Source organism: Homo sapiens, chromosome 22, assembly GCF_000001405.40.
Source record: "Homo sapiens chromosome 22, GRCh38.p14 Primary Assembly".
In the NCBI taxonomy this organism is placed as follows: Eukaryota; Metazoa; Chordata; class Mammalia; order Primates; family Hominidae; genus Homo; species Homo sapiens.
The window spans coordinates 24,564,526-24,585,507 of record NC_000022.11 but is presented as its reverse complement, the minus strand read 5'-3'; the positions used below and the strand labels follow the sequence as shown (position 1 = coordinate 24,585,507).

Below are 20,982 nucleotides of genomic sequence, written 5' to 3'. Positions count from 1 at the left end.
CTCTTTGGGCAAGTCCCCCATGGAGTCTAAGATGTGGGGGTCCTGGGTCCATCCCTGTGGGCTGGAGAGTTAGAGGAGGCCTCCAGGGAGCGGGCCCTCACATCTGGGCAGGGCTTGGGCTCCTTGAGAAGGGGAGCTGCGAAGGAGCGGGTCGGGAGCCCCAGGAGGAGCAAAGCTCTACATGGAGCCCCACAGCAAGCTCACGTCTGAGCCCAGGCTGCCAGCCTCACCACCACAGCCCTCTGGGCAGGGGACAAGGCTGCACAGACCAGAGGCAGGGGCCACAGCCGACTAAGTGAGAGGACTTGGTGCCTGCCTCCCACAGGGTACAGTGCTGCTTGCCACCCTCAGGACCCAGCCCCAGGCCTCTTGTACTTGGCGAGGGGCAGCTCTGTGGGGTTAGGAGACAGCAAGCCAGAGACAAAGTGCTTGTGTGTTCCCTCCAGGCCCTGGGGGTCCCCGTGTGGGAGTCCCCGTGTGGGAGAGCATGCAGCGGGTGGAGGTGCGCATCACCAGCAGCAGGGGGCCTTGGGGGCAGAGTAGTCCTAGGGCTGCCCTTGGCAGGGGGAAGTGTCTCCCTTCCTCCCCAAGCACCATCAGGGTGGGCTCCCAGCCAGAAGCCTAATGCCACAGTCACCCTCAGCCCTGTGTGGGGAGTTACAGTTCAGCCCAACCAGAAGACAGGCAGGGCAGGCGGGAAAGGAATTTAGAGATGTCCGGGGGGATACTGAGGCCCAGAGTGGGGAAGTCATGTGCTAAGCCAGGAGGTAAGGTCTGGGGGCAGTGGGGCCCTGCTAGATGAGGAAAGACTCAGCAGCAGAGGGGGGCTCCAAGGCTAAGGAGGAGGCAGGGGTCCTCCTGGGCCTACACACCCCAGCCACCAGCTCTGACTTTCCCTCACAGCCATGGCCCACAGGGACTGTAAGCGGCGCATCCATCCCCTGTGGTGCATGGATTCCAGCACATTCCCAGTCTGGCTGGATGCATAACAGCTTCTCAGGGCAAAAGGAGATGGCCAAGGAGGGTGAGGACAGGATGGTGTTGGGTCCCAGGACTGGGATGGAGGCAGTGAGGAAAAGGATTTTCCTCAGACCCCACTGATCTCACTGCTTTAGGCGGACTTCTTACCCAAAGGCTTTGGAGAGATTGGAGATCTCACAGTTCAGGCCCGCTCTGCTCCTGACTTGCTGTGGGACCTGGCCAGGCCTTTCCCTTTTTGGGATCTCTGCTCCCTCCCCTCTGTTAAATAGGACTTTCAGCTCTCAGCACTCCATCCTGGGGTCCAGCTCCCTCCCAGCTCTCCTTGTTTTAGGGACTGGCCCTGCCCAGCAGCTCAGAAGCCATAGAAGTGTTTCCCTATGCCCCTACTCTGGAACAGGGTGTTCAGGCTCCCCAGAGTGAGGCAAAATGGGGTAGATGGTGGGAGGGGCCAGCAGAGAGGATTATGAGAAAGTGAAAGCTTAAACCAACATACATTTATTCTGTGAGCAATCTATTATTTAAATCAAAACGGTATGAGAGCCGGCCCTGGGCCAGGCAAGCTGATAAACCTGTCACATAAGCAGGCCTCTGAGCTCTCCCTGAAACTCCTGTTGGAGAAATGCCAAGCTCTCCAGTCCCTTGCGCCCTGCTGACTCCCTGCCCACCACTGGCCCTAAGCCAGCCCACAAACTCTCAATTGTCACTGAGAGATTCCTACCAGGATGGTGTGCGAGGACCCGAGCTGGTGTTCCAGGCAATCTCTGGGAGAATCCAGGCGGCAGCAGATAGTTTCAGTCTCTCTGCCTCTTGGACAGAAGCACACGATGCAGTAGCGGAGCCAGAGCCTGAAACGGATCAAGCGGAGAAGGTTGGCCTCATTGCCATGCAGGTGTTTAGAGCCTTCACGACCACCAGCAAGGCTGTCGAGGGCAGGGCCACCGAGCTCCACAAGTGGCAGCTTGTGGCTCATGCAGCCTGGTGAGGCAGAGAGCACTGGCCAGGACAGCTCCAGCCCAAGCTCTAAACGGAGGAGGAAGCAGGTGGGCCGTACTCAGGCCGGTCCTCACTCAGGCCTAGTCTAGGAGGCAGACAGGCCTGGCCTTGGTCCCAGCCTGTCACTTGCTGGCGATGTGGTCCTCTCAGAGCCTGTTCCCTCATCTTGGGAATGAGGTACACCAAGCCTCCCATTATCCCACTGGAGTGAGAGTGAGGATGACGTAAGTTTTGGAAAGTGTCTACCGCATTGAGGGGAGGAGGGCAGGCACTCTTCAATGTCAGCAGGGCCTCCACCCAGGGCTGTCTGGGTGGCAATGGCAGGAACTCAAACCTTTGGGGCTAGGCCAGAGATGAAGCCATTTTTTTATTCAACAAGCACTTCCATAGCCTCCCTTGGGCCAGGTACTGTTCTGATGGCCTTATACTCCTTTACTTCTCTTCTCATTTGAAGGAGGTAGGTGCTCTGTTTTCCAGGTGAGTCGACTGAGGCAGAAAGAGGTTAAGGGGACTTGTTGGCCAGGCGGCGTGGCTCATGCCTGTAGTCCCAGCACTTTGGGAGGCCGAGGCGGGTGGAGGTCAGAAGTTCAAGACCAGGCTGGCCAACATGGCAAAACCCCATCTCTACTAAAAAAAAAAAAAAAAAATTAGTCAGGCGTGGTGGTGGGTGCCTGTAATCCCAGCTACTTGGGAGGCTGAGGCAGGAGAATTGCTTGAACCTGGTGGGCAGAGGTTGCAGTGAGCCGAGATTGTGCCATTGCACTCCAGCCTGGGTGACGGAGCGAGACTGTCTCAAAAAAACAAAAAATAAAGAAAGGGGATTACTTGTCCAAGTTCAAAGAGCCAGGAACTGGAGGAGCCAGAGTGTAAGCCCGGGTGGCCTGGTGCCAGTCTGTGACGTTAACGCCTGCATGCTGCTCCCTCTCCTACAGCCATCCCAGGGACTATCACTGGGGCTGCTCGGCCCCAGGATTCACCTAAATGAGCAAGCCCCTTCCAAAGGGGCCATTTGAAGCAGGAGAACCATCATGGTCCTCCTGTGGGGAACAGACCTCAAGCCTCGTTGTCCCTGGAGCAAAGCCAGTAAGGACCTCCCTGGACCTCAGTTTCCTGATCTGCAGCTACATGGTGGAAGCAGCCATGATGATCTGGGCTTTGCCCTCCCGCAGGATTGTAAAAGACTAGCAAAGAGTGGGTTTGGAAGTACTTCCCAGACTGAGCAAAACCCAGGCGGCCCAGGCTCAGGGGTGCAGCATCCACACCCAGCTCTTAGAATCTGCCTTCAGCTCCCTGGGCCTATAGCTCCTCATGCCTTAGCCTGCCTTGCAGGGATGCTGAGAACATCTTGCAGGGATGCTGAGAACATCAAAAGGAAACACGTAGAAAAGATGATGTGCTCCACAGGCCCAACATGACCAAGACTCGGGAACTTCTTTTCTGTCCTAAAAGGGAGGATATTTGAGCCCAAATAAGGTGCTTTAGGACATGAGCCCACAGGAGAGATCAGCCTCTGCTGACGGTCTTCATCTCGAGAATCCAGAGTCTTGGGCAACTGATCCTAGCTGCTGCTATCAACCCAGCATGGAGGTTTTTCTCTGGGACCTGGAAGGAAAGGAAAATGCACTTGTTCCACTTAGAGCTAGTTGCCAATCACCCATGAAATCTAGTATTTTCTTTTCCAACTATGCACAACTTTTTTTTTTTTTTTTTTTTTTTTTGAGACAGAGTCTCACTCTGTCACCCAGGCTGGAGTGCAGTGGCATGATCTTGGCTCACTGCAACCTCTGCCCCACCAGGTTCAAGGCATTCTCCTGCCTCAGGATCCCGAGTAGCTGGGACTACAGGAGACTGCTATCATGCCTGGCTAATTTTTGTATTTTTAGTAGAGACAGGGTTTCACCATATTAGCCAGGCCGGTCTTGAACTCCTGACCTTGTGATCTGCCCGCCTTGGCTTCCCAAAGTGCTGGGATTACAGGCATGAGCCATTGCGCTCGGCTTGTTTTTTAAAAATATTTTATTTTTTAAAATAACCCTTCATTGAGGTATAATTGAAACACAAAAAGTAGACATTCCGAGCACTACACAAGATTAAAATGTGCAATATGATACATTTTGCACATGTATACATCTATGAAGCCACTATCACAATCAAGATAGTAAATGTACCTGTCACCCCGAAAGTTTTGTCATGCCTCTTGGTAATCCCTCCCTCCCGCCTCTCCATGCCCACTGACATCCAAAAGCAACCATTGATTTGCTTTGTTTTTTACAGTTTGCATTTGTGAGATTTGGGGATATATGGAATCATATAGGATATACTTTTTTTTTTTTTTTTTTAGGTGAAGTCTCACTTTGTCACCCATACTGGAGTGCAGTCTCAGCTCACTGCAACCTCCCCCTCCCAGATTCAAGCAGTTATCCTGCCTCAGCCTCCCAGGTATCTGGGACTACAGGAGCATGCCACCATGCCCAGCTAATTTTTGTATTTTTAGTAGAGATGGGGTTTCACCATGTTGGCCAGGTTGGTCTTGAACTCCTGATCTCAAGTGATCTGCCTGCCTCAGCCTCCCAAAGTGCTGGGATTACAGGCATGAGCCACCACACCCAGCCGGATGTACTCTCTTCTATATGGCTTTTCACTTAGCACAATTATTTAGAGACTCACTCACGTGTACCAGTAGTTCCTTTTTATTGCCGAGTATTGCACTGGACGGTGTGCCACAATTTATCCATTCATCTGTTGATGGATGTTTGAGTTGTTTCCAGTTTTTGGCTATTACAAATAAAGCTGCTATGAAAATTCATGTATAAGTTTTTGCATGGACATATATTTCCTTTTCTCTTGGGTAAATACCTAGGAATGGAATGTGGGGATCATAAGGTAGATGTATTTTTAATGTCTTAAGAAACTGTCAAACTGTTTTCCAAAGTGGTGGTGCAGTTTTACATCCCCATCAGCAGTGTTTGGGAGTTCTTGTTGCTTTACATATTCAACAGCACATAGCATGGTGAGTTTTTTAAACATTAGCCATTCTTCTGGGTGTGTAGCAATATCTCTCTGGCTTTAACTTGGGCATTTCCCTAATGACTAATGATGTTGAACATGTTTTAATGTGCATGTTTGCCATCTGTATCTTCTCAAGTCTGTTCAAATTTTTTCCCCATGTCTTATTATTGAGCTTTGCAAATTCTTTATTTTTTGAGACAGAGTTTTGCTCTTGTTGCCCAGGCTGGAGTGCAATGGCACGATCTCGGCTCACCGCAACCTCCGCCTCCTGGGTTCAAGCGATTCTCCTGCCTCAGCCTTCCTGAGTAGCTGGGGTTACAGGTATGTGCCACCACACTGGGCTAATTTTGTATTTTTACTAGAAACGGGGTTTCTCCATGTTGCTGGTCTCGAGCTCCTGACCTCAGGTGATCTGGCCTCGGCCTCCCAAAGTGCTGGGATTACAGGCGTGAGCCACGGTGCCTGGCCACAAATTCTTTATATATTCTGGATACACATTTTTTATTAGACTTAGCTTTGCCAAAATTTCGTGGTTAGTCTTTTAACAGTGTCATTGGAAAGCAGTTTTTTATTTTGGTGGTCTAATATATTAGTTTGGTCTTTCATGGATAGTACTTTTGGTATTATATCTGAATTTTTGCTTAACCCAAGGTTTAGGGTTACATTTCTTCTAGAAGTTTTATAGTTTTAAGTGGATGATCCATTTGGAATTAATTTTTTTGTATGGCATGAGGTATAGACCCAAGTTTTGAGGGATTTTTCCATACAGATATCCAATTGTTCTGGCACCATTTGTTGAAAATGCTATCCTTTCTCCAGTGCATTACCTTTGTGGCTTTGAAAAAACTCATTTTGTATACATGTGTGGATTTGTTTTCAGACTCTGTTCCTTTGATCTATTTGCTTAACTTGATGAAATACCATGCTGTTTTGATGAGTACAGCTCTATAGTAATTCTTGAAATCAGGGAGTCTTCTTTTAAAATCTGCTCAGCTTTTGAAATACACAGTTATAACTTTTAATGTCCTTCTTTGCTAATTCTAACATCTGTGTAGTTTTGGATCTCTTAATCTCATTATGTGCTGTGCTTTCCTGCATCTTTGCATGCCTAGCAATCTCTGACTGGAGCCAGACAGTGAATTTTACTGTGTGGGGTACTGGACATTTTTATATTCCTATAAATCTTTTTGAGTCTTATTCTTGGATATATTTAATTGGTCCGGAAAAACAGTTTCATGTTTTAATGTGTTGTTTTTATGACTTGTTATTCAGGTCCAGCGCTCAGTCTTGGGCTAATTATTCCTCATTTACCAGGCAAGGCCTTCCTGGATATTTGTATTAATCATGCCTTTTGTTTTCTGTTTTATGATGCTTTGGTATCTTGGGCCTTGCTAATCCTGAAGGATGCTCCTCCCAGGGTTAGCTAATTCCTAGAGATAGTAAACAACTTGCTGGCAGCGTGTCTTTCATGTACAAACCAAACAATCCAAAGTCCACACCCAAAACTGCCTCCTTTATCTAACTCTCATACACTAAGCCAGTATTTCCTTTACCCTCAATCACCTCAGGGCAAGGTACTTTACAGAGACCACTTATAACCCAGTTGAAAATTATTCAGACTATCCAATCCTAAACTTGCTCAAACTTGCCTACTCTGCCTCACTCATTCCTTCATGAGAAAACTACAATGAAGGCTCTGGGTCTTGCTCTGCCATTGCTCCTTCTGCCTCCTGACTCAGGCTGGTGTCTCCCCATATGGCCCACGTAACGTGGTTTGCCCCCTTCTTTGAGAACTGTAATACATTCTTTCAAGGCAGCTGTCTCTGGGTCTTACCATACCTGATTAAAACAAAATCAGATATGGTACATCTTAAAACAACACTGTACTCCATATCCTGTGAATTTCTTGTCTGACTGATAGGAAAATGTTTAGTCTCAGCCTAGCATGACGCCAAGCACTGTTCCAATTCTTTATGGGTCTTCCCCAGCCTGTTAACTTCCTCACATCGGTGTGCTCATCAGTATTCTGCTGAATGTTCAAAAGCAACCCGCTGCAGATCTCTTGGGTTCTCTGTGTGGCTTTCTTCTCTTGACATTCTGTCCTATAGTCCTAGCTGCCTTGGTGGCTTCTCTGAACTCTTAGCTCTCGTTTCTCAATGCAGGCAGGCTGGTAGGTCAGCTTCAGTCCCCTTCCCTGTGCCACAGCTTGGAGACTCTTGTAAGCAGTGAGCTGGGGCAATTGTACAACTCCCCTTATTTATTTCTCGTTTCTCAGGGATTAGTCTCCTTCAATGTCTGATGTCTTGAAAACCATTGTTTCATATTATTTTGTGTGTGTTTTTTCAGACACAATGATAAATCAATTACTTTCATCTTGGCTAGTGGCAGAAAAACTCCTGTATGCTTTGATTGTTTTTTAAGGTTATGGTTCTACCAGTGTAGAAGCTGGGATAGTATCAGTGAATCAAGTGAGTCCACATCCACCCTTGTACAGATAACCAACCAGAGGCTGGGAGAGGTGGTCACGGTGGCACTCAGAACCAGAATTCATGTTTTTGGTTTTTCTTTTTCTTTTTGAGATGGAGTCTTGCTCTGTCACCCAGGCTGGAGTGCAGTGGCACAATCTCGGCTCACTGTAAGCTCCGCCTCCTGGGTTAAAGCAATTCTCTGCCTCAGCCTCCTGAGTAGCTGGGATTACAGGCACCCGCCCCAACACCTGGCTAATTTTTGTATTTTTAGTAGAGATGGGGTTTCACCATCTTGGCCAGGCTGGTCTCGAACTCCTGACCTCGTGATCCACCTGCCTCGGCCTCCCAAAGTGCTGGGATTACAGGCGTGAGCCACCGTGTCCTGCTCAGAATTCATGTTAAATACTGGTCTAATTACCTTTATGACATCATCCTTTAGTCTATATCTTCTTTAAATCTGAGTTATTCTTTTTTTTTTCTTTTTGAGACAGAGTCCCGCTCTGTTGCCCAGGCTGGTGTGCAGTGGTGCGATCTCAGCTCAATGCAACCTCCACCTCCTGGGTTCAAGCGATTCTCCTGCCTCAGCCTCCCCAGTAACTGAGATTACAGGCATGTGCCACCACACCCAGCTAATTTTTGTATTTTTAGTAGAGACACGGTTTTGTCATGTTGGCCAGGCTGGTCTTGAATGCCTGACTTCAGGTGATCTGCCCACCTCAGCCTCCCAAAGTGCTGGGATTACAGGCATAAGCCACCACCCCCAGTCTTATTCTTCATTTTAAAGTAATATATTTTCAAAGAAAAAAAGCAAAAGCATGCTGAAACATTCATATTTCCACATGACCTGACTTCCCCAATCTTGGCAAAAAAGTTGGAAGCTTATTCTCCAGAGGGGGTTAGAAGGTTTCTGGACTAGGAGCCCTCCCAGAGACCTGGATGAAGGAACTGAATGTGGACATACTAGAATGCTGAAATTCTCACCCTCTTCCCCAACAGAGCTCTCAATCCAGCAGCTCAGAGTAAACCCTCCTGATGTGAAACCAAAAGTTTCTCCAAGAGAACCTGTCCAGCCTGGAGCAAAGTTCTAGAAGTATGGACACTGGGGATTTCCCCAAAGAAGCTCAATGAGATCACCTTACAATCACATATTCTTTTTAATACTCCACTCTTAAATATAAGCAAGATTACCAACGATTGCCAGGCAGCTAAAGAAAGTCTGTAACATGAAAGATTAAATTGAAGAACAGAAAGCAGAAAGACATATGCAGGGAGATGAAAGCTTCTACAGAGCATATTAATATCCTCAAAGATGTTGCAACAAGGAACAAGGTACTGTCCCTATATATCTACGTATATAAAGGAACAATCAGAGAATCAACTTGGAGTAATCCTCCATAAATTATGATCAAAAGAAAAGAAAATTGGGGTTGGGGCACACAGGGAGGAGAGGTAATTCTGGGTCCACCATCTGAGTAACAGAAATTCCAGAAAGAAAAACCACAGACAGCCGGGCCTGGTGGCTCACGCCTGTAATCCCAGCACTTTGGGAGGCCAAGGCAGGTGGATCACCCGAGGTCACGAGTTTGAGACCAGCCTGACCAACATGGTGAAAATCTGCCTCTACTAAAAATACAAAAAATTAGCCGGGTGTTGGGGCAGGTGCCTGTAATCCCAGTTACTTGGGAGGCTGAGGCAGGAGAATTGCTTGAACACCGGAGGCAAAGGTTGCAGTGAGCCGAGATGGCACCATTTCACTCCAGCCTGGGCAACAAGCGTGAAACTCAGTCTTTAAAAAAAAAAAGAAAAAGAAAAACCACAGACAACCTAAGGAAGAAAATCACTGAGAATGAATTCAAGAAAGTTTCCCAGAAATTAAGGACAAGAGTTCACTCGGAAAGGGGCCTGGCATGGAAACAGACCTTCGCCAAGGCAGGTATTAATACGTCATTCTGAAATTTTGGAACACTGATAACAGAAGGGAAAAAAAAAAAAGTCATATAAAAAGGATCTGGACTCTGGCCGGGTGCGGTGGCTCACGCCTGTAATCCCAGCACTTTGGGAGGCCGAGGTGGGTGGATCACACAGTCAGGAGATCGAGACCATCCTGGCTAACACGCTGAAACCCCGTCTCTACTAAAAATACAAAAAAATTAGCTGGGCGTGGTGGCGGGCGCCTGTGGTCCCAGCTACTCGGGAGGCTGAGGCAGGAGAATGGCATGAACCTGTGAGGCGGAGCTTGCAGTAAGCCGAGATCGCACCACTGCACTCCAGCCTGGGAGACAGAGCGAGACTCCGTCTCAAAAAAAAAAAAAAAGATCTGGACTCAAAATCACTTCAGACTTCTCTACAGCAATGCTAGATGACAAAGTAGCCATAACTTCAAAATTCTGAAGGATACTAATTCCTTTTTTTTTTTTTTTTTTTTTTTTTTGAGACGGAGTCTCACTCTGTCACCCAGGCTGGAGTGCAGTGGTGCAATCTCGGCTCACTGCAGGCTCCACCTCCCGGGTTCATGCCATTCTCCTGCCTCAGCCTCCCGAGTAGCTGGGACCACAGGTGCCCGCCACCACGCCCAGCTAATTTTTTTGTATTTTTAGTAGAGACGGGGTTTCAGCGTGTTAGCCAGGATGGTCTCGATCTCCTGACTGTGTGATCCACCCACCTCGGCCTCCCAAAGTGCTGGGATTACAGGAATGAGCCACTGCGCCCGGCACTAATTCCAACATAGAATTTCATACCCAATCAAATCAAGTGTGAGCACATTTTTAGACATGCAGATACTCCCCCAAAATAAGGTGATAAAAGAAGAGGTTACACAGAAAACAGAGATCCAACAGAGGAGCAGTGTGGGGAGTGCCCAGGGTGACAGTGACACACCAAGCACGGGGAGAAACCAGTCCAGATTGGGGTGGGTCAAGAATAATAACTGATAAATGATGTCATGATCTTCAGATATGATTGGGGTTGAATTAGTGACAAATAGAAAACCAAGCAAATAAAAATGCAAGAGGATTACTTTCAGGGAAAAGTTCCACAGTAATCTAGTCTATTGTATGACTCAGCTGTGATCACTATGACACTGTCATATTTTTAAAAAGTTTAATCACATCTTAATAATTTGACACTGAATATGATCTAACCAGAATTACAATATCAGGGAGATGGGTGAGAGGAAGTAAATTCATGGTGGGCAGGAGGAAGAGAGGATTCAAAAGATAATGGTGGCCGGGTGCAGTGGCTCACACCTATAATCCCAGCAGGCCGAGGCGGGCAGATCACTTGAGCCCCGGAGTTCAAGACCAGCTTGGGCAACATGGCAAAACCCTGTCTCTACAAAAAATACAAAAATTAGCTAGGCATGGTGGTGTGCACCAGTATTTCTAGCTACTCAGGAGGCTGAGGTGGGAGAATCACCTGAGCCCGAGAAGGTTGAGGCTGCAGTGAGCCATGATTGTGCCATTGCACTCCCGCCTGGGGAAGAGTGAGACCGTCTTAAAACAAGCAAACAAAAAACCATCAAGGAATAGTCATGAAAACATGTTCATATTGAGACATGGAGGTAAATACAAACAAATCAGCCAAGAGTTGGACAGACTACTGTGAGGCAAGGAAAGTGGGGTAAAGGCAGGGTAGGAGGGCTACTGTTTTTCATAATAAACCTTATGGAACAACTTGTTTTCAATCTGCGTCAACTGATTTTCCCCCCTAAGATGCAGGATATAAAACTGTTTACAAAGCTACATATTTTAGGTTGATCCCCCTTCACTTTTCAGATCTAGGTAGGGTTATAGCCAGTTTCCATTGCGTGGAGAATCTGCAAGGCTGGTGTTCCTGTACGGGTCCAGAGTGAACTACATCAAAAGTCGCTTTTGATATCGAGGATGCAGTTCACTACTATTAAGTGTAATGTGTTATTATTCAAAGTAAGTACTGTTTACTGTAAAAGTATGATGAATTCAGTAATGATTATACTAAAATAACATACTAGTACAGGGTCAAAATACGGCTTTAGGTCTACTTAAGATAGAATACTTAAGAATTACTTATCTGGGGACCAGGGAATTGTTTAAAATGCAGATTCCTGGGCCCCACTCCAGGTGTGCGGCTTGCAGTCTTCATTTCTAATAAGATCCTTAGTTGATGTTGAAAACCACTGCTTTCATTTGTTTTTTATTTAAGAGACAGGGTCTCACTGTCATCCAGGCTGGAGTGCAGTGGTGCAATTATAGCTCACTGCAGCCTTAATCTCCTGGGCTCATGTGGTCGTCCTGCCTCAACCTCCAGGATAGCTGGGACTGCAGGCATCAGCTGTGCCCAGCTACTTTTCAATTTTTTGTAGAGATGCGGTCTTGGTTAACAAAGCTTAACAGCCCAGGCTAGTCTCAAACTCCTAGGTTCAAGTGATCCTCCCGCCTCGACCTCCCAAAGTGCTGGCATTATAGGCGTGGGGCACCATGTTTGGCCTGAAGCCCTATTTTAAACGTCTATTGTATCTGACCAACTCACTGATGCTTATTCCTCAGAATACCAGCTCTGTAACCTCCAGGTAGTATCATAAGACAAAGCTTATTAGAACCTCATTAATTGATGCCAGGTTAACTAATGTGCTGGATTTTTTTCCCCTCCTCTTTCATTACTTGAATAATCTGTTCAATGAGCAATATTCTAAAAGCCAATAATTGATCAGTTTTCCTCTTGATGGCTTATGCTGTAGCTCATACCATAATGAATACCTGGCAAGACCTCTTTTTGGTGATTTGATTTTTTCAGGCTGCTTTTCCAGTTTCTGTGTTTTTGTCACAATTATTCACCCTGTGTATCTTATACTCTTTACTACTACTTATTTTTCTTTAAAGACAAAGTCTTGCTCTTTTGCCCAGGCTGGAGTACAGTGGCAAGGTCATAGCTCACTGCAGCCTCATACTCCCAGGCTCAAGTGATCCTCCCACCTCAGCCTCCCTAGTAGCGAGGACTACAGGTGTGCACCACCATGCCAAGTTAATTTTTAGAATTTTTTGTAGAGACAGGGTCTCACTATGTCTCGCGGGCTGGTTTTGAACTCCTCTCAAACAATCCTCTACCTCAGCCTCCCAGAGTGCTGGAAGCAAGCCACTGTGCTGAGCTGCTGGTCACCCTTCCTACATTAACAACTATGGATGTGCCAATCAATGCTGAGATGCTCTGATATGCTCCCAAGAATCTGTTTCCACAAATCACCACAAAACTACTTGTTGTAGCCAGTATACGAGCCAAGGAAGCTGGCCACTAGGATCCCCTGAATTACTTTTTTTTTTTTGAGGTGCAGTCTCGCTCTGTCACCCAAGCTGGAGTACAGTGGCATGATCTCTGCTCACTGCAATGTCCACCTCCTGGGTTCAAGCGAATCTTCTGCCTCAGCCTCCCGAGTAGCTGGGACTACAGGTACATGCCACCGCACCCGGCTAATTTTTTTATTTTTAGTACACACGAGGTTTCACCATATTGGCCAGGCTGGTCTCGAACTCCTGACCTCGTGATCCGCCCGCCTTGGCCTCCCAAAGTGCTGGGATTACATGCGTGAGCCGCCGCACCCAGCCCCTGAATTACCTATGACTTTATCAAGGGAAAGAGTCACCTGTGTTGTTAAAGCTGAGCTGATGACAGCTCCACAAATGTTAACTGAACAAAGTGCCACACTATGTGCCTGTGTCTGAAGATGAATGAGACACAATCTGTGTGTTCTCGGAGCTTCTCCAAGGTGAACTTTTCTGGGGCTTAACCTGCAACTGGCCAGGAACAGCAGCTTAAAATCTCATCAATAGCTGTGCTATTTCAAAGTACTGGCATTCTCCCAGGACATCCCCCAGGGTGTCAAAATTTAGCCAAAGCAAACTTCAAATGAACACAAAGTCCTTATTTTCTCAAAGAAAACAAAACAAAACAGAACAAAAAACCCCCCAGATTTATTTAGCTTAAACATTTCCCCTGATCTAAAGAGAAAGATGGCAAAAGATACCTAGCATATATGCACAAGCACCCACTCCAATGAACTCAGATAACCTGAAAGAAAAAAGGACAAAGTTCTGTTCAACTTAGAAAATTATCTTCGCTTTTGAAAGATGTTTCCACGTCCCATTCCACGTCCTCTTCCTCTTGCGGCCACTGAAAGGGAAGAGAAAATATGAGGCCAGGTCAGTGTGGTCGGTGAATGCTCATAGCACAGAGTAGCCAGGGCCCTAGGACACCAGTTAGAAGGGTTCTGAAGGGTTACCTGGTCCAACACCACCCTGGCCATTGCATTTCCACCTCCCGCCTTTTTTTTTTTTTATTTTTTGAGACGGAGTCCCACTCTGTCACCCAGGCTGGAGTGCAGTGGCATGATCTCGGCTCACTGCAATCTCCACCTCCTGGGATTAGGCGATTCTCATGTCTCAGCCTCCTACTTGAGTAGCTGGGACTACAGCCGTGAACCACAACGCCCGGCTAATTTCCTGTATTTTTAGTAGAGACAGGGTTTCACCATGTTGGCCAGGCTGGTCTTAAACTCCTGACCTCAGGTGATCCACCCACCTCGGCCTCCCAAAGTGTCAGGATTACAAGCATAAGCCAACACGTCCAGCTGACAGCCACTGCATTTAACAGGGGGGATGGAGACGGAGGGGCAGGGGCTGGGGACTGGCATCAAAGCAGGAGCTAGCAGCACACTCTTGCCTTCCAGTCCCACACTGCTCTCTACAAGAGGCTGGGAGGCAGCATGCTGAGGGCAAAGAAGGTGGTCTGAGAGCTACAGAAAAGACAAATCCTTGGGGCTGGCCTTGGGTGAGCTGAAAAACATTATAGATGCACTGAATTAATTTTTTCAATTCTGAAACAAATATAGTTAAGTGTTAACATGTGTTAGATCTGGGAGAAGGGTTATATTATCTTTTGTATTTTTTTCTGAGAAAATAATTATTTCAGGCTGGGTGCAGTGGCTCATGTCTGTAACCCCAGGGCTTTGCGAGTCCAAGGCAGGCAGATCACTTGAGGTCATAAGTTTGAGACCAGACTGGCCAACATGGCAAAACCCCTTCTCTACTGAACACACAAAAATTAGCTGCACGTGGTGGTATGCGCCTGTAATCCCAGTTACTTGGGAGGCTGAGGCAAGAGAATCACTTGAACCTGGGAGTTGGAGGAGGTGGCAGTGAGCTGAGATCAAGCCACCGCACTGCAGCCTGGGTGATGGAGACTCAGTCTCCAAAAAAAAAAAAAAAAAAAAAGAATTATTTCATAGTAGCAAAAAGAAAACACACTCCATATAAATAGCATGATAAGACTGCTGTTCTCCTCTGTAACCCAGGGGTTCTAGGAGAAGACAGGCTTTGAAGAACAAATAAAATATTCTTTTTTTTTGAGATGGAGTCTAGCTCTGTCACCTAGGCTGGAGTGCAGTGGCACGATTTCGGCTCACTGCAACCTCCACCTCCTGGGTTCAAGCGATTCTCCTGCCTCAGCCTCCCGAGTAGCTGGGACTACAGGGACCTGCCACCATGCCCAGCTAATTTTTGTATTTTTAGTAGAGACGGGGTTTCACTGTGTTGGCCAGGCTGGTCTCGAACTCCTGACCTCGTGATCTGCCCACCTCGGCCTCCCAAAGTGCTAGGATTACAGGCATGGGCCACTGCGCCCGGCCCCTCACACTATTACATCTTTAAACTTGAGCTTTCATCTATGGTTCCCAGCTCGTAACTCCTATAGTCCTTGTTATAGTCTTTTGTTATAACATTGGGGCACTTTAGGCCTCAGAAGCAGGACTCAGGAGACAGAATCTCTCTCTTGAAACTTCTCCTGCCCTCCTTTCACCTGCCCAAGGCAGGACCCTAATCTGATTGTGGGTCATAAGACCTCACTCCAGAGAAAGGTCCTGCCCTATACCCTGGAGGAACAAATGCTGCAGAGAGAGGCCAAAAAGAATCTGGACAGGCCTCGCGGGGTTTCCCAACCCCGTCTATTAGTGTTAGATCACACCCATTTTGTCTAATGGCATTTCCACATGGTTGTCCATCCTTTAATCATGACTATCCAATAAAGTCTCCATAAAAGGCCCAAGAGGGCAGGGTTAGGGGAGCTTCGGGACAGCTGATCATGCGCAGCCTGACAGGAAGGTGAACAAGAACTCATCCATGTGCCGGGAGGAAACTCCATGGGGCTAGAAGCTCTTGTGCTTGCGACCCTTCCAGATCTCACCCTATGCATCTCTTCATGTGGCTGTTTATTTGTAGCCTATAAAATATCCTGTTATAAACCAGTAAATTTAAGTATGTGATTCCCGAGTTGTGTGAGCTACTCCAGCAAATTAATCGAACCCAAGGAGTGAGACGTGAGAACCCTGGCTTGAAGCCATTCAGATGTTCTGGAGGCCTGTGCTTATGAATAATAGTGGGGGGTGCAGGGGCTGTCTTGTGGGACCGAGCCCTCAACCTGTGGTTTTTCAGGCTATCTCCAGGTAGATAGTGTCAGAACTGAAGGACACCCAGCTGGTGTCTACTGCAGAACTGACTGCTTGCTTGGTCACAGAAGTCTTTGTTGATTGTTGTGTTGTGAGAGCAGAGGAAAAACACAGTTTGACTTTTTTCCTCACACACATATAAAACATGTACAGCAGCTAAAGATACCAATGAAGAATCCAGTGCCTTCCTTGGCTGCAAACCTTTTTTACCAACACTAAGACAGTTTCCAAGGGCCACAATTACTTTGTTGTCTAATCAACATGACAGAACTTTCATGAACCTAAATATAAAACCAAATTAGGCTAACCAAGAAGCAAGACCAGACTAGGGGACTGCGAAAAGGACAGTCCCACTTTTGGAATGTACTAAAAGGTGGCTTTATTTCTGAAAACGGAGCTCCACTATCAGACCTCCCTAAGTACATGCTGGTGTCCATCCATAAGACCCAGTCTCGCTAGGAAATGCTGCCCTCACACTCGAGTCAGCTCATCTGCTCCGGGCTGTGTCTGCTCGGCAAACTAGACAAGGGCAAGCGATCCCACACCTCTCACACAGAACTTCTAGAAAAGATGGGCCTCTCCAGGTGCGGTGGCTCACACTGGTAATCCCAGCATTTCAGGGGGCCGAGGCAGGTGGATCATGTGAGGTCAGGACTTCAAGACCAGCCTGACCAACATGGTGAAATCCCATCTCTACTAAAAATACAAAAATAAATAAATAAAATAAAAATAAGCCGGGCGCAGTGGCTCACGCCTGTAATCCCAGCACTTTGGGAGGCTGAGGCAGGTGGATCACAAGGTCATGAGTTCAAGACCAGCCTAGCCAAGGTGGTGAAACCCCGTTTCTACTAAAAATACAAAAAGTAGCCCGGCGCAGTGGCGGGTGCCTGTAATCCCAGCTACTTAGGAGTCTGAGGCAGAGAACTGCTTGAACCCGGGAGGCGGAGGTTGCAGTGAGCCGAGATCACGCCACTGCACTCCAGCCTGGGCGACAGAGCGAGACTCCATCTCAAAAAAATAAAAAAATTAAAAAAAATTAAAAATAAAATAAAAATAAAAATAAATTAAAAATAAAAAAATTAGCTAGGCAGGGCAGTGCGCACTGTAATCTCAGCTACTTGAAAGGCTGAGGCAGGAGAATTGCTTGAACCTGGGAGGCAGAGGTTGCAGTGAGCTGAGATCACACCATCGCACTCCAGCCTGGGTGACAAAGCGAGACTCTGTCTCAAAAAAATAAAATAATGGCCTCACAGGATCACTCCACGCTGCAAGGGGAAGGGGTGGCAGTGGGTGGTGGGTGTGGAGAGAGCAGAGGTCAAACCCTCTCTGTCTCCAGGCAGTAATAGGGCCCCTTTCTACAAGACACAAGACAAACCTATATTTTAAAACCTGTGCATGAAAAGCACCTACCTTGGGCCTTGAGAATAGCAGCTTTTCCTCGGCCAGCCCCTGAGCCTTGGTTTTTATTTTTCATGCTCTTTAACATGGGTGCGTTCTTCAGCATGTCAGGCAAAATCAGAAAGCGGATTTTGCTGCCACGGATGTATACCTGCTCCAGCTGTGCCACTCGGCCATCTCTGTATGTGACTGTGATGTTGGACATCTGGAAGGAAATCACCAGCTAATAAGTTAACGGTCAACAGCACCAGCGGTGGGGAGGGCCTTGACTGGTGGGAGGGGGAAGTCCAGAAAAGCAGACTGACATTGTGACAAAGCTGGTGAATTACCCAGCAATCATCGGTACTAACTGTGTACACCAGGGACTGCACTGAGCACTTTACCTAAACAGTCCTCACAACACCTTCAGCGTGGGTATGAGTGCTCCCCCCCTTTTTTTTTTGAGATGGAGTTTCACTCTTGTTGCCCAGGCTGAAGTGCAATGGTGCAATCTCGGCTAACCGTGACCTCTGCCTCCCGGGTTCAAGCGATTCTCCTGCCTCAGCCTCCTGAGTAGCTGGGATTACAGGCATGCGCCACCATGCCCGGCTAATTTTGTATTTTTAGTAGAGGTGGGGTTTCACCAGGTTGGACAGGCTGGTCTCGAACTCCTGACCTCAGGTGATCTGCCCGCTTCAGCCTCCCAAAGTGTTGGGATTACAGGTGTGAGCCACTGCGCCCAGCCGAGTGCTCCCATCTTTACATGTTAAAAAAACCAAAGCAGTTATCCCAGGTCAAACAGCTGGAATGCAGGGAACTCCAGATTCGAACCAGCTGGCCTAGCTTCAGAGCCCTGGCTGTGCTGCACTGCCTGCTGAGCAAAGATGTGAAGAGCTCTTGAAGGTGCTAAACCCTAACGAAAACAGCTTCAAACTGCTGGTCCAAACTGTCTTCCCCTGCACTGCCTGGCACTCAGATTTCAAAGGCACCATGAAGGTCACAAGTATATACCAGATGTGGTTCTGACCCTCCAGAGTGCATACTCTAGAAGGTGAGACAGAACCCTCTAGGTTGAGTGACTAGGGACTGAGAAATGGAGGTGGTACCACAAGGCCTGTAAAAAGGGCCTGAAATTACTGGAGGGTTATGAGGCAAGAGCTTGCACAAGGAAAAGAGCAGGCACTTGGGCAGGAGCCTACAGGATGTGAGGACCAGAGCAGTCGAATAATGACACTGGACGGGGTCGTTACTTCAGATAAAGGAGTCAGTCAAGTTTGTCGATAGAGGAAAGATCAATAGGGTTAAGGCAGCACTCAGGAAAGATAAATGTGGCAACAAGGATAGACTGCAGGATGGACAAATGGGGAGCCTGAAGGTGAGACCAGCTTGGCATGGGAGGGTGATACCAATCTGCCAGCATCAACCTCAACAAGCACCACATTTACAGAAAAAGCAGCTTATTGTATGAACCTTCTGAAGAGAGAGAACTATAATTTATTTAGAATGGGTCAGCCCTTATTGTAGAAAGATGTGCTGTCTCTGCAGATTTCTGTCTGGCTAGCTGCCATCTTATACTCATTCATTCTTTTCCTCAAGTGCTAACTGGCCACCCAGCCTCTGCTTGAACACTCAGAAAAGAACAACTATGGGCCAGGTGTGGTGGCTCATGTCTGTAATATCAACACTTTGGGAGGTCAAGGTGGGAGGATCACTTGAGCCCAGGAGTTTGAGACCAGCCTGGGCAACACAGTGAGACCTCATCTCTACAAAAATTAGCTGGGTGTGGTGGCATGTGCCTGTAGTCCAGCTACTCGGGAAGCTGAGGTGAAAGGATCACTTGGTTCTGGGAGGTCGAGGCTGCAGGGAGCTGTGATGGAGCCACTGCACCCTAGCCTGGGCCACAGAGCAAGATCCTCTCAAAAATAAAACAAACAAAACTATGCTCTGGGGCCGCCCCTGTTGTATATGAGCAGTTTCTAGAGGAATGGTTTCTAGAGCTTCTACCCACTATCCCTGTTCTACCTTCAGGGGCAACAGGGCTCCAGTTTCTCATAAACCTTCTGCTCCAGGCTCCTCACTCCCAGCCTGTTATTAAATTTTCATCCAGTTCCCAAGTCCTTACCAATCCTTTTCTTCCCCTGAAGAATACCATAACCTCTAGTGCCACAAATGAACGCCAGGTTTATGGTCAGACTACCCAAGACAGAAACTGGATACAACTCAGGCTCACCTGAATCTGACTGACAATTAAAATGTGTTTTGGGGCTGGGCGCGGTGGCTCATGCCTGTAATCCCAGCACTTTGGGAGGCCGAGGTGGGTGGATCACCTGAGACCAGTCTGGCAAACACGGTGAAACCCTGGCTCTACTAAAAATACAAAAATTAGCCGGGTGTGGTGGCAGGTGCCTGTAGTCCCACCTACTCGGGAGGCTGAGGCAGGAGAATCACTTGAACCCGGGAGGTAGAGGTTGCAGTGAGCCAAAATCACGCCACTGTATTCCAGCCTGGGCAACAGAGCAAGACGCCGTCTCAAAAAACAAAAAACAAACCAAACAAACAAAAAACGTGTTTTGGGGACTGTGCCACACTCATGACTCTGTAGAAGACACAAAATAGGCCTAAAGACCTATAGGTGAGATCCAGCTCTGCCATTTGTCAGAAGTGTAACCCTAGGTATATCTCCAGGCTTCCCTGAGCCTCCGTTCCCTCAACTACAAAGCTGAGTTTTGAAAATACAAGACAACAAAGCCAACAGTTACTGAGCACTTATTAGACATCAAGTGCTGGCCCAGGTGATTTCCCCACGGCAGCTCATGTTACCCCACAAAATCCTACAAGGTAAAGAGATGAAGTGACATAGCCATTCAGAGGCAGATCTGTCCCCAGAAACCCATGCCCTTTCCCTCTATTCTCCTGCTTGAGGTCACACCACGCTTACATGGCCTGGCTGGAGTTTGAACCCAGTTCTTTCTAACTCACACTCTTAACCACTGCACATTTCCTGAAATTGTTAAAAAGCAAATCAGGCCAGGTACAGTGGTTCATGTCTGTAATCCCAGCACTTTGGGAGGCCAAGGTGGGAGGACTGCTTGAGGTCAGGAGTTTGAGACCAGCCTGGGAAATGTAACAAGATCCTATCTCTACAAAAATTTTTAACAATTAGCCAGGTGTGGTGGTGCATGCCTGTGGTCCCAGCTACTTGGGAGGCTGAGGTGGGAGGATGGCTGGAGCCCAGGAGTTCAAGGCTGCAGTGAGCTATGATTATGACACTGCATTCCAGCCTGGGCAACAGAGTAAGACCCTGTCAAAAAAAAAAAAAAAAAAATGAACAAGGCAAAGTATGTCTAAATGCTGTCTCTATTGCCTAATACATAATAGAGACTCAGTACATGCTAAATCTGATTGACAGCTAAAATGTGTTTTGGGAGCTGTGCCACTGCTAAGCCACACTCCCTCCAGCACAGGGGCACATCTCACTCCTTTCCTGACAGAAGCTGTTGCATAAGTCCGACAAGACTTAATCTAGGCATTTCCATAAATGAACTATGTCCTGGCTGAAGCAGGAGAGTCCAGTGTCCTCTGACTCCTATTTTAACCCTAACAACCAGGCTCACTACTGCTCTCGCTTTCCCTGTAGCACTGGCTAAGAACAGCTTGCTGTGGACAAAACCCCACAGTCTCACT

The 20,982-nt window shown here is 47.5% G+C and overlaps 2 protein-coding genes and 1 long non-coding RNA gene across 5 annotated transcripts in view, besides 2 other annotated features; 1 reads left to right on the top strand and 2 right to left on the bottom strand.

Moving 5' to 3' along the window:
- GGT1 (gamma-glutamyltransferase 1) overlaps window positions 1-1,758 on the bottom strand; it is a 45,247-nt gene extending 43,489 nt beyond the window's left edge. Inside the window, exon 1 of the mRNA NM_013430.3 lies at window positions 1,700-1,758. The gene's annotated coding sequence lies outside the window, so the exon portion shown is untranslated. The remainder of the gene's footprint in view (window positions 1-1,699) is intronic.
- Window positions 43-543: an enhancer, noted in NCBI's record as "H3K4me1 hESC enhancer chr22:24980933-24981433 (GRCh37/hg19 assembly coordinates)". NCBI's record gives its function as "activates a minimal SCP1, AML or CMV promoter by ChIP-STARR-seq in naive H9 embryonic stem cells {active_cell/tissue: H9 hESC(naive)}" and the evidence as "EXISTENCE:reporter gene assay evidence [ECO:0000049][PMID:30033119]".
- Window positions 544-1,044: an enhancer, noted in NCBI's record as "H3K4me1 hESC enhancer chr22:24980432-24980932 (GRCh37/hg19 assembly coordinates)". NCBI's record gives its function as "activates a minimal SCP1, AML or CMV promoter by ChIP-STARR-seq in naive H9 embryonic stem cells {active_cell/tissue: H9 hESC(naive)}" and the evidence as "EXISTENCE:reporter gene assay evidence [ECO:0000049][PMID:30033119]".
- LOC124905091 (uncharacterized) lies at window positions 4,302-8,829 on the top strand. Its single transcript, XR_007068024.1, has 2 exons — window positions 4,302-5,304; window positions 8,448-8,829. It is a non-coding gene; the product is annotated as an uncharacterized LOC124905091 (long non-coding RNA).
- Window positions 8,830-10,536: 1,707 nt separating this feature from the next.
- The window catches only part of SNRPD3 (small nuclear ribonucleoprotein D3 polypeptide), a 19,322-nt gene continuing 8,876 nt past the window's right edge, over window positions 10,537-20,982 (bottom strand). For 2 of the 3 annotated variants that reach the window (NM_004175.5, NM_001278656.2), the window contains exons 3-4: window positions 17,332-17,524; window positions 10,537-13,592 (exon numbers count right to left, since the gene is read on the bottom strand). In NM_004175.5, coding sequence (NP_004166.1) covers window positions 13,531-13,592; window positions 17,332-17,524 — 255 coding nt within the window. In that variant the 3' untranslated portion in view covers window positions 10,537-13,530. The remainder of the gene's footprint in view (window positions 13,593-17,331; window positions 17,525-20,982) is intronic. The other variant, NR_103819.1, reaches the window with a different exon arrangement.